The 17,514-nt window shown below is 40.0% G+C and overlaps 1 protein-coding gene across 43 annotated transcripts in view, besides 1 other annotated feature; it reads right to left on the reverse strand.

Moving 5' to 3' along the window:
• Window positions 1-17,514, reverse strand: part of DOCK9 (dedicator of cytokinesis 9) — a 295,191-nt gene that overhangs the window by 98,832 nt on the left and 178,845 nt on the right. For all 43 annotated transcript variants that reach the window (XM_047430231.1, XM_005254035.4, XM_006719937.4 and 40 more), the window contains exons 10-15: window positions 12,372-12,446; window positions 10,712-10,852; window positions 10,028-10,231; window positions 9,518-9,640; window positions 5,919-6,001; window positions 5,228-5,350 (exon numbers count right to left, since the gene is read on the reverse strand). In XM_047430231.1, the coding sequence (XP_047286187.1) occupies window positions 5,228-5,350; window positions 5,919-6,001; window positions 9,518-9,640; window positions 10,028-10,231; window positions 10,712-10,852; window positions 12,372-12,446 (749 nt within the window). The remainder of the gene's footprint in view (window positions 1-5,227; window positions 5,351-5,918; window positions 6,002-9,517; window positions 9,641-10,027; window positions 10,232-10,711; window positions 10,853-12,371; window positions 12,447-17,514) is intronic.
• Window positions 9,426-10,625: an enhancer, noted in NCBI's record as "BRD4-independent group 4 enhancer chr13:99553940-99555139 (GRCh37/hg19 assembly coordinates)". NCBI's record gives its function as "activates an origin of replication core promoter dependent on BRD2, P300/CBP, MED14 and CDK7 cofactors, and independent of BRD4, by STARR-seq in HCT116 cells {active_cell/tissue: HCT116}" and the evidence as "EXISTENCE:reporter gene assay evidence [ECO:0000049][PMID:35650434]".

Genomic DNA, 17,514 nt, shown 5'->3' on the forward strand with positions numbered 1-17,514 from the left:
AATTCCCACAGAGGAAATGGGAATGGTATCATCAACTAGCAGTCCTCCCATGCCAACAGATTTGGGGTCCTTATCTAAGTGTTTCTGCAGCCGGTCTTCCCTTCCTGACTTCCTGTATTGGCTCGTTAAAATGATTAGCTGGCAATACAGGTATGTTTGGACTGCTATTGGTGGTGAGTTTAATCTTCTAACTGTGTTTTGTGAAAGGAAATATTCCCTAAAAGCTTTGGTGTCACTTAAAAAAAAACAACTATATATGATTGAAAGAAATTTGAGATATTTTTGTTTCAACAAAAACCACTGAGTTTATGTCTAAGAAGAAAATTCAATAAGCATTTATCAAGTGCTTAGGATATGCTGCAATGTATGTACTCAGGACCATGGAGGAATGCAAACAAGACATAATTTCTTTCCTCAAGAAGCCAAAAGTCCAGTAGACACTGTAAGCTACTTACGGCATATGAGGGCAATCACTTTCACAGAGTATGTACAAACCTCTACCAGAAGGCAGAGTATCTAGATCTATCGAGAGGGAACACGGGATGAGATCAGTATTCATGGTGGGAGAAATCACCTTAATGCCTTTTGCATTTATTCCCCACCACGGTTTTAGGGGGCAGGGGCTGTTATTATCCACCCTTAAAAAGAGGAGGCGGCTCAGGCAGAGAAGCCAAGTAACCGCCTCCAGGACTCCCAGCACAGAAGTGAGCCACAGACTGGGCTTTGAAAGATGAGTAGAGTTCCCTGAGAAAGACAAAGGAAAAGGGGAAGTGTGTATGCTGCATGTGTTTGTGATTTATGTGCTGCTTGATGAGGCAGGAAGGGGACACAATTTGGGCAGAGAGAAAAGCATGGCAGAGGGAAGTCCCCAGTGGGTTTAGAGAAAGTCAAGCAGCCCTACTTGGCTTGAGTGCAGTGTAACCAGAGCGAAATCGGGGTAAGACTGTAAAACCTGGATGCAAAGAAGATGAGTGTACAAATAAACACAGACACATTAAGCTGCATACGCAAAAACTTTAGTAGTATTATTACCTAAACTATCCAACGTAGTACCATTAAAAAGGTCTACGTTTTAAAGAAAACGTTCTATTTTTATACTTTGCCTTCATGTCTTCGCATTTCCTGCAGAAGTTGGAAAAGATGAGATACCATCTTATCCATGAGATACCACCATGAACAAATCAAATACAAAGTACCAAGTCTCTCTTCTTATAAAATGTTAGCAATATCATCTATCGGACAGAATCGCTTTCTTACTAAATCTTGGAACATATCCCTGGGTAATTATTGCAAGGGAAAAAGGAAAGTGGCTTATGAGCTTTGGCAGCTGTTTTGTTAAGACTGAGACAGCGTGAAGAAATTTTTTTCATGCATTATTAAATAACATTTTGAGACAATCATGGGGGTAGAAACAATAGCTTTGGATCCAAGCCGGTGCCCAGGCCACTGACATGAGATTATTTCCTGTAAAATATACAGAGGAAAGAAAAATAGCAATGCAAAGATTTTTAAAAAATGAAAAAGGAATCCTCCACGTCCCCTAACTCTGTTGTGAAGAATACGGGGAGTGGGCACCAAAGTTTCTTTGAATACTTATTGAGGAGCGTGGCCTCACTTATCCTGCTGTGTCTTCTATGCTGTCACCATCGGATCCCTGTTTTCAGGTTTCTGGGTCTCTAACTGGCCACCTGGAGCACACCCTTCACACCAATGCCCTCCTGCTGAGCACATGCATGAAGAAGTGGTGTGCAGAAGAGAACTCACACTTGGTTTTCCCTGGGCTCCTTTCTGCCTGGCCACAGGCTTTCTGCTCCCATCACTTTCAAATTAGTGACCATGTGAAGCCCCACTCCCCAGCCTCCACTGAAGACAGGACCATGCACTGGGGCTGCCCCTGAGGAGCCGCCACTGTGGGGAAGTCTCAAGCTAACCAGCCTAGGAAGTAACTTCTGAGACAGGGCTCCAACCTCCATCACATATAAAAAACTTCATTGTTTGTTTTGTCTGAATATAAAAGTGTTAGTTTTTTAAAAGTTCATATAAAAATGACAGAATGTTATAAAGTGGAAGGTGAAATATCACCCATCAACCCATCCCTCAGAGATAACCATGATTATTTGGCATATATCCTAAATAGCTATTTTTATGCCTATCTTTCCATCTAGATAGCTACTTGCTTATCCATTTCTTCATTTACATACAAAAGAAATATATATTTTCTTTCAAAAAATATAGTAATACAGATATATTTTTTCTTCCTTAATAATATAGTGTATTCACTTTCCTAAGTACACGCAGACCCACCTCATGGTTATTAAGAGTTGCATGGTAGTTGAGCGAAGGAAAATATTGAAATCTATCCAACTAAAGGTGACTGGTTTTTGAAAAAATTAGTAAGAATGAAATTTTCTTGAAACTCAAAAAATGACAATAATTACTATATGATAATATAGTATGTATGATAATATATTACCCACTACCAATAGAGAAGATTTTTTTAAAGATTCTAACTGTGGCTTATAGGTATAATTCTGAAAAATCAGAAACACATTAAAAGTCAAAAAATGGCTGGGCATGGTGGCTCACACCTGTAATCCCAGCACTTTGGGAAGCTGAGGCGGGCAGATTGCCTGAGGTCAGGAGTTTGAGACCAGCCTGGGCAAGATGGTGAGATATTTAGTATCTCTACTAAAATACAAAAAAAAAAAAAAAAAAAAAAAAAAATTAGCGGGGCGTGGCAGCATGCGCTACTCAGCTACTCAGGAGTCCCAGCTACTCAGGAGGCTGAGGCAGGAGAATTGCTTGAACCTGGGAGGCGGAGGTTGCAGTGAGCTGAGATGGTGCCACTGCACTCCAGCCTGGCGACAGAGCGAGACTCCATCTCGGAAAAAAAAAAAAAAGTCAAAAAATGGGGGAAGAGTTAAATAATCTATGGTCTATCTCAATGGACTATTATAATATTTATGCATTAAAAATGATGTCTATAAAAATGTATATATAACACTTTCAGAAAATACTTGAGTTGTGCAGGGAAATATTACATATTTAGTATGATCATAGCTACATAAGATAAACTAAAATAAAATGTAAAGGAATAAAACGTAAAAAAAAATGTTCCCCCCTAGGCTGGGCACGGTGGCTCATGCCTGTAATCCCAGCACTTTGGGAGGCTGAGGCGGGCAGATCACAAGGTCAGCAGTTTGAGATCAGCCTGGCCAATATGGTGAAACCCCATCTCTACTAAAAATACAAAAATTAGCCAGGCGTAGTGGTGGGCGCCTATAGTCCCAGCTACTTGGGAGGCTGAGGCAGGAGAATCGCTTGAACTCGGGAGGCGGAGGTTGCAGTGAGCTGAAATCGTGCTACTGTACGCCAGCCTGAGGGACAGAGTGAGACTCCATCTCAAAAAAAAAAAAAAAGTTCTCCAAAAGTTCACCACGAAGGTTAAAACTAGTAGTAAACCTTTTTTCATCCTTTTATTCTTCTGTATTTCTCAAAATTTCTAAAATGAACATGTATTATGTTTGTAAACTAAAGAACCTCTATGATTTAAAAGTAAAAATAGGGTACTATTCTTTTATTTAGTCTTTCATGAATAACAGATTCATAGGGATCCAGGGGCACTCCCTGGCCAAGACCTGTGTCCTTACCAGGTCATAAAACTGTCAGATAGTGACTGGGAATTTGGGGCACCTATATGGTCCAGGAACCCTGGAAGGCTAACCCAGCAGGCCTCATCCTTCACCAGTATCCTCCTCTCCCCCTTCTCCAATTCCCTACGTGAGCTGTGAAAGGTTCATTCCAAATCAGCCCAGCGGGCATGCACACTGCTTTGCTGAACAGGCCAACCTTAGCTGCATGTTAGCAAAACTGAGGTTGCACTTCTCATTAAAGCTCCAAACAGGGGAAACATCAAGACAGTCAAAAACTGTATAATCACATAACTGAAAGAGACCTTGAGAATCCTTTCTACCTTTTTGAGCCTCTTGACAAGGGATTTCACGTCGCTGTGAAGGCTGAAGCCGCCTGCTGACATGGACGTGATTGGATTCTGATTAGGAACACGTCTCTGTGTTTTCAGAACTTATTGAGCCTGTTTCTATGACTCATATCGTTTCTATTCCTACTACTGAAGACAGATAAGAAAAAGGTAAAATAAGGTTAAAGAAAGCTAAGCAATCATTCTTGAGTTCTAGACAAACTGATAAGATTGCTATTTTGATATGCACAAAAAAAAAAAAAAACAAGGATACCTTTGGCATAGAATAGTTAGCATTTGGCTCTCAGCTATTCTTTTCACTTCACATCTTCTAGCGCCCTCAGCTCTTTCACATTCCCAGAATTTCCCCAGAAAAATTCTAAGACCCATCTCCCTAGCAAAGAAAATCAGTTTCAAAGGTTCAGAGTGAACTCTTTAGGATGTAGCAGCAAAACAGCATAGAGGTTAAGAACACAGACCCTCGGGTGAGACTGACTTGGGGAAGCTGCCGGCCCTGTGATGTTGCACACATTCCTTGCTCCCTCTTTGCCTCATTGTTATGGGTTGAATTGTGTCCTCCAAAAGCATGGTGAAGTCCCAACCCTTTGTACCTATAAATGTGACCTATTTGGAAACAGGGTCTCTGCAGATGCAATCAGTTAAGATGAGGTCACTAGGCTTGGCCCTGATGCTTTATCACTAGTGTTCTAAGAAGGGAATTTAGACAGAGACACACAGGAAGAGGACCATGTGAGGCCAGAGGCAGAGTGGAGCAATGCTGCCACAAGCTAAGCAACAACTGGTGCCAGAAACTTCCAAGTTAGAAACCTTGCAAGTTATTTATCTTAGACTATTACCACCCCAAGCCAAGACCCAGTCATCGTATCTCTTTGGCACGACTTGAATTTGTCCCCTTCTTCCTGTTTGCACTTGCAGTGGCTTTGCTGAGTCCTTTCTCACCTCTTGACAAGGTTCCTCAACTGTTTCCTCCCCACCATAGGCTCATCCTTACCCAGTCCACCCTTCACAGCACCACCCAAAACATCCTCTACAGAATTCAAATTAACTGGTTATTCTTCTGATTTTCACCCCATCTTTCTTCTCAAGGGTTTGAGGAAATGCTTCACGCTCATTTGCCATCCCCTCTGATGTCTAAATCGAGCAACCTAAGTGACTGCTCCCCTGTTCCTCCCTCCCCACTACACAGCTTCTATTTTTCAGGTGTGGAAATAAGACCTTGAAACTCACTTCCGAAAGTCTGCAAGTAACTTGAGCATGTCATCATTGGATAGCTTATTGCTGTCTTGCCTGTAGATGGCAGAAAATCTGGCATTTTTGTCAAGATTTCCAGATGCATCCTTAAACAATGTCCTGAAATGGCAAAGCAACATTTCTAAACTGGGTTTCCAAAACACCAAAATCAATTCATTATTTAAGTCTAGTTTCTATGAGAAGTCTAATTATTATTCCATTGGCTATAGCCAACAGAAATCTCATTATCTAAAAACATGGAAAACATCTATGGGGATGAGGACAACTAAATCAATTTACATAGAAAACAGTTCCAGCCAATGGCTTGTGCTTAGGAAACAATATACACAAGTCAAATGCTTAACAAGTAGAGTCAAGAGATAAAGATCACCCCAGGCCTCACTGGATTGCCCTGACTTCCAGCTGGAGGCATGTGGTTGGGTCCTTGAATCCCAGCTCTGCAGCTAACACTACCGTGCACCCTGCCAGTTCCAGGTAGCACTTCTCCAGACAGTGTCTATCCTCTCTGTGACTCTACCAAATGATTTTTTCAAAATCTGGGCTTATGTATTTCTCAGTTTTACACATTCAAATCCTCTTTGTCTCTGAACAACAAACAGAATAGGCCTATTGACCCATCCATGCACCTATCTATATCGATTTAAAAGGTATAAAAGGTGTTCCTTACCTTGCTGCCCAAGCAAATGGCATTCTATACTGTCCTAGTCTTTGGCATGCCTGCTTGGCATTCTTCAGCACCTTCTGGGCCACCTTGAAGACATGAGAATAAAGCTATGAGATACTGCATCTCACTGAAAGAACTGTGACCTCAAGAGCCATCCTTACATGCTCACTAAATAAGTCCTTACCATAGCATTGGATGCATAGAAAAGCACATCATACAGTAATGAATATGGCTGGATTCACACTCTGTGCAGAGTACTTTATTTAACGCATTCTCTAGCAGTGATTCTCAAAGAATACAGAACGAAGACTTTCCAAAATCCATGTCTCTTCTTTGGTCTTTACGGGCAACAAACATGCTGTTTCAGAGGTTTTCATACATCTTTATGACTAAGTGCTACTTATTATAAGTCTACTGAGTTATTAATAATTACTATTTGGTATCCATATCAAAATATATCACATTATTAGGATTGAAATGAGAACACTAATTAAAATACTAAGCTTTCACAGCTCCTAAAGCGCACTAGCTTATGCTGATTCCCACAATATAAGGGATAAGATATTAAGATACTGACTTCAGTTAGGCTGGGGTTCTCAATGCTATATTCTTGCTTTCTAAACATGAATTACTGCTATTTCTACTTCCTAATGATCAATTTTGGTTTGTTGTTGATTGATTGATTAATTCACAGTGTACAATGAAGCTTATTTGCTTTTAGCCTAAGGCAGACCTATTATTAATCATCTATACCCCTATTGCTAAAAAAGATAATGCTTAATTTTTCCAAATTTGTCTGTACTGTGATAGTGCTTTGTCATCAATGCAAAGTTTGATTGTCTCAGAGTTACAGTGAAGGGTCTTTTACATTACTTAATTTTTTTTTTTTTTTTTTTACTGAAGGGTCTTTTACATAAGTATATCAAAGTCAAACCAATTTTGGGAAATGTACTCCAAAACCAAAGTGTGCTATAGCATCAGCATCACTGTAGAAATGCAGAGTCTCAGGCCTTGCCCCAAACTTCCTGGATCAGAACGTGCGTTCTGACAAGACCTCCGGTGATCTGTGTGTACCATCAGCCACAGGAAGGATCTAGAAGGATCCAGAAGGATCTAGATGACAGAGCTGTCTGTCTCTAAGTCACACTGAATCCAGCTGTATGACTCTGTAGGCCATCAAACCTCTCTGAGCTCCACTATCCACACCTGAAAATGGGGGCTAGGCTATACTTTTCATGATCCCTTTCAGTTGCAAAACTTTATAATCCTACCATAATCATGCTGTAGGAACTGCTGCCTTCATGAGTAACCTGGAAAATACATCCTAATTGGAAGAGATGTCAGGGAATCATCTAGGACCTCCCCCCTTCTCCAATGAGGTATGTTCTTGCCTCCCTGGGTGGGGCGACTTAGTGGGGTCTTAGGTGTATGAGTTATAGGGTACAATGGCCTACCTAGCTGCAGGGTCAATTTACTTAAACATTTTCAGGTTCAAGATTTTTTGGTTCTAACAATGATGAATATGTTGTGGAGTAAAATGCAGTAATTTCATAAAATTTAAAGCTAAAACATAAAACATCAATAAGCCTTTTCTGCAGTGAATGAGGACTTAGCTCTCGGACATATGAAGGGAGCAAATAGAACACAGTATGTGTGAAAGTCAGAGTAAGAAACTTATTTTTTCCCTTTGGGCTTTTTTCCCCTTCTTTTTCTTTTTAAAACCTCTATTCACAGGAGATACCTACAGAGACTTTTCATAAAAATTTCCTCCAAAATGAAAATTTACTCTAAATGATGTTCTAGACCATCTTGGAAAACATGAAGAAACAACTTTGACAGACAGAAAAAAATCATCTCACTGTAACATCTCTGCCAAAACTGTGCTAAAGTAAGATAGTTGAGCCTTAATTCCTGCTTTAATTGAATGCTTTGGAGGTGGCAGAAAAGTAAATGCATGAATAATGTACACATGGATGAGCTTTACATTCCATAAAAAAATGAAGAAAAAGCAGACTTCAGCAGATGCTCAGTGGACATGGAGGAGTGTGCAGAGGTAAGTTTAGCCTACAGTGATATGTGATTTTTACACCAATATGAGCTGCCAAATTTCAAACCATGCATGCGGCAGGCAGAAGTAACAAAGTTGCTGTGGATGGGCCTTGGAAATGTGTTGCATACACGGTCGGGGGAGGAGATCTTATATTGGGCCTTCATTGATTATTGATCAAAACATAAAAGAGCTAAAAGAGCTTCTCATCCAAGGTTTTACAGACTTGGTTTAAAAAAATAAAACAGCTTCTCTCCAGAGACCAAACTTTACACAGCTTTCATCAGCCAAAAAGGCTTACTGTTGGAACCAATGTGCCTGGGTAAATGGGCTTTTACTTGACTGGGGCTGTAATAAATGACGATGTCTTCTGGGCTTTCTGTGATTTATGGTGCCCACAGCACTGACTCATACATGATCTGTTTGATCCTAACACTGTCCCTATGAGGAAGGCAGAGGCAAGAAGTAACATCATCCTTCATGCACAGAAGGAACATATGGAGGCCATGAGAGGTGATGTGATTTGTCCAAAGGACCCAGATGAGTTAAGCATGCAGCACCCAGGTCTTCTGACTCCAAAATCCATTTCTCAATGGCCATCGTGCATCCTGTGGACACAGCTGTGATGCATGGGCGCCCATAGAGGTGAAGATAGGAAGCTCTGAATCCAACTTAGTAAACTTCACTCACAGCCTCTGGGGTATCCACTCCTACTGCTGACCAGTCCTTGTCAGTGAATTCAGGCCTCTCAGATGACCACACAATTTTTTTTTTAAATAACTAAAAATATGTAAAACTGGCAAGGATAATAGCACTTAACAGATTACACTAACCAGGTAGCACAAGGTGCTACGAAGTGGCAGTCAAGTGCCCCCTGGCAGCTCCAGCCATGAGACACTGAGCAGATCACTAAGCCTTGGTGAGCCTCAGTGTCCTGAAATATGAAAGCACATCTTGGACTAGATGACCTCTAATATTTAATAATTCTATGGTATGTCCATGCCTAGGCACTTCCCAAGTAATGAACACTACTTTGAAAAAAACCAAACATACATCATGTATGTTTTCTTTCCATCTTCCACCTAAAACTCTGCCCCTTCTAGCAAAAACCAAGTGGACCTGAATCACTGACACTGCTGGCCAGGTCATCTGAGCCAAGGGCATCTCCTGGTCTCCAGCCTCATATATAAGTGTAAGTGGACCAAAATAGAATTTCAGAACCCAAGAGGCAAATTAACAGATAGAAGAAACTCTATTTGAATATCATACATGTACCTTCTAACACAGAAAGTTTACTATTAAGCTGGTAATTCCTTTGCAAATTATTTTAGGATGTCAGAACTGTCTAGTCAAGTGGATCATTTTATTTACACATAGGACTACATTTCCTTCAAAATCAAGACATAAAGTTCAGAGTAAATACAGGTAGCATATTCTACATCTTTTAGAGTATAAATATGGCTTATGTTTGATTTCATTAAGGATTTATAGTATCACATAAAGGCCTCTTTTCAGATTGCTTTTTACCACCCCAAAGCGTAAAAGCCATTCATACCTTAGAAGAGTCTGAACTTTTCATATATGGCTCAGCGCAATGTGTGATGCTCCCCTGAAGGACTTTTTCAATTCTGGCCACAAGAAATATATCTGGATGAGGACAAGTGACTGAAAATATTCCCTAGGAGGCAAACAATTTTCTTCAGTAAGCAGAATTCACAGCTACGTTAAACAAATCCCATGAACATTAAACAGCAAAGAACAGTGAAACAGGACAACTAGTAAAAAGCACCCAGTGCCAAACTAGTTAGCTGACAAACAGTTCATCATCTGCTCAAAAAGTCTATTTGGTGAGGGAGGTAACTAGGAGAACTTTTAGAAAGAAGAAAGGAAATTAAAAGCCACTTATTTCTCAGCTTGCTTTTACTGTCTAATAATAAATACTATTAATTAAGAGTCTAATGACCCCACTTGTGCATTACAAGGTCTAATTTGAGCATTTTTGGTGCATTTAGGTAGCATGCAAAGTGAGTCTGAGTAGTGGGAATGCTGGGCTCATACTCCCCACCTGCTTCGGATACTGCATGGCGGCTTCATGAAGGATGCCCTTGAGGACAGATGGGCTCTGCCCACTGCCATTCATCAGCGCCGGGGACGTGGTGGCGAGCATTTGCCTCACTGAGAAATGGTTCAGGTCTACGTGGAAATCGGCAGAAATCTTCCGGTTGTATTTTATGTCAAACAGGGATAGAGTAACAAAGAAAGGTTCAACCTGAACAAAACAAAACAATCCAATGATCACCATGGCTCAAACAGGGACAAAAGAATGTTGCTATCAAAAGAGAAATGACAAGACCTATTTAGGACTGTTGCCATAAATTACTACTAAACAGTCTCATCCTTCTGCATACAGAGAATTAGCTTATAAAACATTTTAGGAAACAAACAAAACAATTATTTTACCTTTATGTGTTTTGCTACGTAATGTATGTTCCATAGAAAACACAGTTGCGTTCCCTGAAGCATCTAAGATGAACTCTGTCTCCTGGAAAGCTGAGCACAAACCTGCCACCCTCATCTTCCATCACGAACATCCTGTCCTTGCAGGCTAACAACCTCCATATCCTGATCCAAACACTGCACCTCTTTGATACCAGGGACTAGGATTTCTTATCCAGGCTGCACTGTAAAGGTACATCTGAAACCTCTGCCTATTTTTTTTTTAATGTTTATTTTTAAAATGAAAAATTACATTTGTAGTGGGTCCTTCTTCATTTTCGGCAACACAGCATTGCAAATTGAAAGATAAATCATTGCACTTGACAAGGATCCTTTTTCCAAACTTCTCTTCAAATGACTTCACTTCTGGCTCAGCTGATGAGAAGTCAAGCTTCTTTAAAAGAAAATGTAAACATATAAATAAGTTATGCTCTTATTTTAAAAAAACATCATAAATGCATCCAAAGGAAACGGAATAAAATATGGAAAAGCTATATACACTTATTTACTCACAATAGTGTTGCTATTATATAATCGGTTTCTATGGTTTATAGTAGTTACACACATAGTTTATAACAATGGTCAAAGACATGGGCCGGGCACGGTGGCTCACGCCTGTAATTCCAGCACTTTGGGAGGCCGAGGCTGGCGGCTCACCAGGTCAGGAGATCGAGACCATCCTGGCTAACCCAGTGAGACCCCGTCTCTACAAAAAATACAAAAAAATTAGCCAGGTGTGGTAGTGGGCACCTGTGGTCCCAGCTACTCGGGAGGCTGAGGCTGAGGCAGGAGAATGGTGTGAACCCAGGAGGCGGAGCTTGCAGTGAGCCGAGATTGCACCACTGCACTCCAGCCTGGGCGACAGAGCAAGACTCTGCCTCAAAAAAAAAAAAAAAAAAAAGACAAAAAAAAAAAGACATGATGGTATACCTACTCAATGGATGAACTGAAAAAATACAGAGCTTGAAAATTATGATCATGAACAACAAAACCAATGTCCATCAAGTATCCAACCAAGTGTCCATCAACAGATTTACAAGGATATATAAAATGTAGTATATACATACAATGGAATATTCAGCCACAGAAAGGAAGGAAATTCTGACACATGCTACAACATGGATTGACCTTGAAAACATGTTAAGTTTAAGAAGCCAGAAACAAAGGACAAATACTGTATGATTCCACATTTATGAGGTTCCTAAAATAGGCAGGTTCACAGAGTAGAACAGAGGTTACTAGGGGATGGGGGAAGAAGGAAAGGAAGGTTATCATTTGATACAAAGTTTCCGTGTGGGAAAATGAAGAAGTTCTGGAAATGGATGGTGGTAATGGTTGTACAACAATGAGAATGTATTTAATGCCACTGAACCGTACACTTAAAAATGGTTAAAATGGTAAATTTTATATTATGTATATTTTACAATGATAAACAAAAACTTCTTAAAAGCAAATAAAAAATATAGACATATAAACACACATACGTATGGTTATGAGGTTTGTGAGGAAACAGAAAAGTACTTATCGTTAGAGTTAAATGGAAAAGGTTTGTATTTGAGCCTGAGCCTGGGCTAGTCGGGAATTATCACTGACTCCCAGGCAACTGCAGTGATACCTGTTGTTTTCTGATGGTTATTTTAACAGGTAAATTAGATGTTCTTTGTGAACTTGAGAATGTCTTTCAATAAATCTCTCCCAATTTTCAAACATCTATTGAATATCAAATATTCACAATAGTAATGCTATGGTGATAAGATTATACATTTTTATTTTTCCTCTTTTCCCCAAATTTTCTATAGTTATTTTGCTTGTTTTTCCAAAATAAACAAAGCAAACAAATAAACAAATAAGCCCATCGATGATTTTCTCTCCCACATTTGGTTTTAAATATTAAACATTTAGATAGTTCTTACCTGGGCATCTGGGTCCAAATAAAAAAGTTTGACTCTGCTTTCACTTTTCAGTTTGATTTCTGCTTCTCTTGCACTCTGATAACAAGATACATGAAAATTACATTTAACACAATCCTTTTCTTGCAAAGGTGCCCAAATACATTTAAAAGCTGCCCAGTCCTGAAGGTTGAGGCTGCTGGAAAGCTCTGCCTCGTGTTGGAGAGCCGCTGTGTGTGCCAGGGAGTGTGCAGCACACAAAGAAAGCACTAGGAGGAAAAAGAAGTGAAGGTGAGATCCCTGCCCTTCTGAAGCTCACAACCAGTGGCAGAGTCAAAGTCAACACAAAGAAAGCAAAAGAGAATAATTAAGCATCTGTGTGTCAAGAAAGGCTTCATAAAGTAATGGAATATGGGACAGGCTTGGAATGAAGGGGCAGAATCGAGCTGAACATCCCTGGCTGAATGAAAAGGATGCACAGACAGACACTGAGGATGGAAATGAGCCCAGATGATAGACAGGATTTAATAGAGTCCAGTCTGTGACTGGGTGCAAGAAGGGGAAGAGGAAGGAATATATTTTGAATGATGAGATAGAGAAAATGATGGCTGATCTTGAAGGACAAGATGCTAATTAATTCAATAAATATTCATTAAGCACCTCTTATGAGCCAGGCCCTCAAGTTATGTGAAATGTGAATGAAGGAAGTCCCTAGTCCCAAGGAACACCAGGTGGGGAGAGAGCATATCAACAGGTAATAAGGAAGACAAGAGAAAGTTTAAAGTACAGTGGGAGCTGACTTGGACTAGGGGGTGGTCGTCAGAAACCACCTCCCAAGGGAAGGCCCATTTGGAAGGACAAGAACACTTGGCCAGGAAAGGAGAAAAGCGCATTCTAGGAGAAGGCACAGCAGGTGCAAAGGGACAAGTCACACCTGAGCAATGACCAAGTCACTCATCATAACTGAAAGGCAGGGCATGATTAAAAAAAAAAAGTGAAAAGAAATGAGTCTGGGATTTGAATGCCAAGGATTGGGGATTTCCCACCCCTTGTTTAGCATATCATCAAGAAAAAAACATAAAAATGGGCAACCAGCAGCCCACAGGGCTGCTTTGCCAATGGCATAGCCATTCTTTATTTCTTTACTTTCTTAATAAACTTGCTTTCACTTAAAAAAAAAAAAAAAGGATTGGGGATTTCATTCAGAATCTAAAATATCCTGCAACCTTTTAGGTAAGAGAATAAAATGAGTTCCACATTTCAGAAGCATCACTCGGGCAGGGCTGAGGCAATGGGTTAAAAAGGATAAGACCCAGAGGCCCACAATGTCTTTCTTGGGTTATCACACCAGCCTCCCAGTCTCACAGCAGGGCCGATTAACAAATCCCACATTTCTAGCTTGGGCAGCCTGCTGAATGGTGAATCCATGAACACGACAGAAAACTCAGGAAAAACAAATCTGCCAAAAAGATGATAATATTTTTATCATCTTTGTGTAGAGACGCCTGGGTAGAGATGCCTGTGGAATTTCCAACTGGAAACATCCAATAGACAGCTAAAGGGATGAAACTTAAGCGCAAGGCTGAGAGGAAGGCTGGAGTTCCAGCCTTGGGAGTGGATGAGATGTCCTGAGGGAGAGGGTGAAAGTGAGTCTGAAGACAAAATCCTGGGGGCCCAACATTGAAGAGGTGGACAGAAGAGAGGCCACGGAAGAAAACCGACAGATGGTGGCAGAGATGAGGGCTGGAGATGAAGGATTTGGGAACAGAAAGAGAGAGAGGCTTTTCAGACATTCACAAGATAGAAGTCATCTCCATCTTTATGATTTTTCATGCCTGGTGCCTCTAAGTCTATATTCTGTTCTTCTTGTCAGTCTGAGCTCTCCACTACTCTCAGTCTCCACAGTTAAGTCTATGGAGTCGGAATAGAATGTACTCTCTCATCTGCTACTTTCCCCAAAGACATGAGTCACATCTCAGCACTTGATGGGGCACTCACAACCACAGCAGAAAAGGCGTCTTGTCTCTTCTGTTGGTGACAGAACAAAGTCTCTTATTACATTTCTAATCATGGATAACGAGAAAATAAGCATCTTAATCTTCTTAGCCATACGATTGTTGTATATAATAGGTCTTTAGCAATGATCCAAACTACCATGATCAGCTGTCTATGTTTATATAAAATGGGCACCAGAATACTAAGAAACTGGGTTCTGGTTCTAGTTCAATTAAGTAGCTGTGCAAGCTACTTAGCCTCTCTGGATTCCATTTTCACTTCCAGGTAAAAATGTTAAACAAGATGATGGCTCAAGTCTGTTGCCACACCAAGTTTATCTTGATGCTATCGATGGGAGCCTGAAGGCTATGGAGGTGAAGGGGCGTTCCTGCAATCTTCTGTTTATGCTTCCAGGGCAAAACATGTGTCTGTGGTGGAGGCAGGCGCTCTCCATATGGGAGATGGGACCACTTCATTTTATTCTATCCTGCCTATCACCTTTCCTAATTTTTCACACCAAAAGAGTGAGAACACGTGCAAGTGGAATCTATTTAACTGAACCCAAAGAACTTGCTTTACATTGTATACTGCCTGTGGTGTTTCCTAACAAAACCATCAGTACTAGGTGCTGCAAGCCACCACCAACAGTTATCTATTCTACTTCTGAATCGTCCGCTTGAGCCCTTCAACAAAGGCAAATACTGTGTTATGTTCTCAGACGCTAGAGCAGAGGAGTGGGTTCTTAATGTAGATGCAATTCCTAGTGGCTTTCTGAAAGATGCTTGTTGTCTTGAGCTGACTATGCTAGGAGATAAGAAATGAATAAAGCAAGAATAACTGCTAATGAGCTCGGTATAATTAAAGAACAAATAGGAATGCAGACACAATAAAAGAAAAACAATTAACTACTAGCCAAAATAGACACAAAGCATTCTGATTTTGTCACTAACACCCAACAGATATATTCTTTACCACAGACATCATTTATTGGAAAAGAAGGGACAGCTTTAGATGCAAAAATAACCTAAAAGCTTGTAATCTACCTAATATACATCTATTGCTCTGCTACAAGATAAATAAAAAGCAAATTCGGCTTCTTAAAGTTCCTCCCATCCCTCCTAAGGTCTAAGATGATGCATTAAACACAGAGGATGCCCAACAGTGGCTGATGGAATTACCAAGTAAAATCTAAGAGGTAGAAAAATGTGGTTCAGGGGTAGCAGGACTTTGCCCCAGAGTCAGGAAACAGTATCTGGAAGAATAGTAACGATAAGAGCTACTATTGATAATAGCCAATATCTACCTGCTAGATATTACCCTAAGTGCCCATTTTAATTTTATACAACCTTAGGAGGCAGGTACTATTATTATCCCTGCTCATTAAAAGAGAAAACACTAAGGCATGAATGTTAGGTACTTTGCCCAAAGACCTACATCATGAAATAGAGGCCTGGCTTCTAACTCAGGTTGCCTGGCTTCAGAGTCTAAACTATTACACTACACAAGACAGAAGAAAACAAGGTAAACAATGTGAACAAGCAAGTCAGGAAGAAAAAACACAAATGGCAAATAAATATATGAAAATATGAAAAATATCACTAATAACCAGCAAAATATAAATGAAAGCACAGTAAAATACCATTTTACACTCGTCTGGTGAAGATGCAGAGAAACAGAAATGTGAATTGTTATAGCCTTTTGGGACGGTAACCTGGCAATGTTTAAAGCATTAAAAACACAATAAACTTTGACTTAAAAATTCCACATTGGGGAATTTCTCCTACTGAAATAAGAGCACAAGTATTTAATGTCATGTTGTTTATTGTGTACTGTTTGTAGAGGCTAAAAACTGAAAAAAAAACCTTAAATGTTCATTAATAGGGAGATGGCTGAATAAACTGTGCAGTAGCAATAGTTGAAATATCATGCAGCTTGCTGATATGTATGTAAGGGGGAACCAGATCTTCCACTGGCCCAGAGGGACATCTATGAAATATTTTTAAGTGATACAGAAAATTTCAGAATAATGTATATATCATGAACATATTTTTATTAAAAAAACTTAAAAACCTTACATATGTTTATCTATATTTCTATGAGCAATCAGTTTGGTGAAAGGGGAATTGCAACCGGTTATTAACTTCAGTGTTCTCAGGAATGTGGGAATGGAGGATGAAGGGAAAAGGTGAACTTTTCTTTAAACAACTTTGGGTATTTTTACTTATTGCGGCAAGCACGCTTCTTTTTAATTAAAATTTTAGTAAAGATAATAAAATAAATACTTGTAATATGTACTTTCACAATCTAAGAGTGGAGAAAATACAGCTATAACAAATATCATCCCAAAGTCTGTAGTTGAGCACTTCTCAGAGTGATGGAAACCAGCTCTGCTCTTAAAATAACCTGTGGTCAGTCTATATTGTGATGGTAAGAAGAGCCAACTGGCTTTTCCCCAGACACCCTGTTGCCACTTTCCTGCCCAAAGCCCACTGACTACTCTGGGTTTCGTGGAGAGGAGAATGAGAGGAAAATGGAGACAGAAAATGCACAATGGCAGAGCTGTTCTCTGTAGAAACTGGTGTTTGCTGAGAAGACAAGGAAAAGAATGATTCATCTAAACCAAGGGCGATTCCCCCACCCCACCCCATCCTGTAAACCCTACATTCAAGCACTAATGACACACCCTGACAAGGTTTTCTTCTTTGTCTTAAGAAGTAGTTATGGACCAAACATTCAAGAGTTTCCAGAAAGTCTGCTGTAGGCTTTAGGCATACTCTGTGTCTTAAATTTATTTGCGAGTAGATAAAACAATCTAGAGACAAAGATTATGGCCAACAGCATCTTATTCTGAGGATGAATTATCAGAAACAATGTGTTGAATGTTGGGTCATTTAAACAGATTGGGTTGGAATAGGAGGACTTTGCAAAATGTTTTGAGGCCAAAATATATAATCTTTAATTTAAAGAGTTATCATGATTTATTTCCACTACTTCCAAGACACCTAACTTCTCAGGACCATCAGTTCATCCTCTTCACAAAGGAGGCCCAGAAATGCAACACCAGCTGACCCCACAGACACAAGCCTAGCCAGCTCCTTTGTATAATAGTGCAATGATATTGTTTTCTGGATTGGAATCTAGGGAAGAAAGCACTTATTATAGACTTGGTTTA

This window comes from Homo sapiens, chromosome 13, assembly GCF_000001405.40.
Source record: "Homo sapiens chromosome 13, GRCh38.p14 Primary Assembly".
Taxonomy (NCBI): domain Eukaryota; kingdom Metazoa; phylum Chordata; class Mammalia; order Primates; family Hominidae; genus Homo; species Homo sapiens.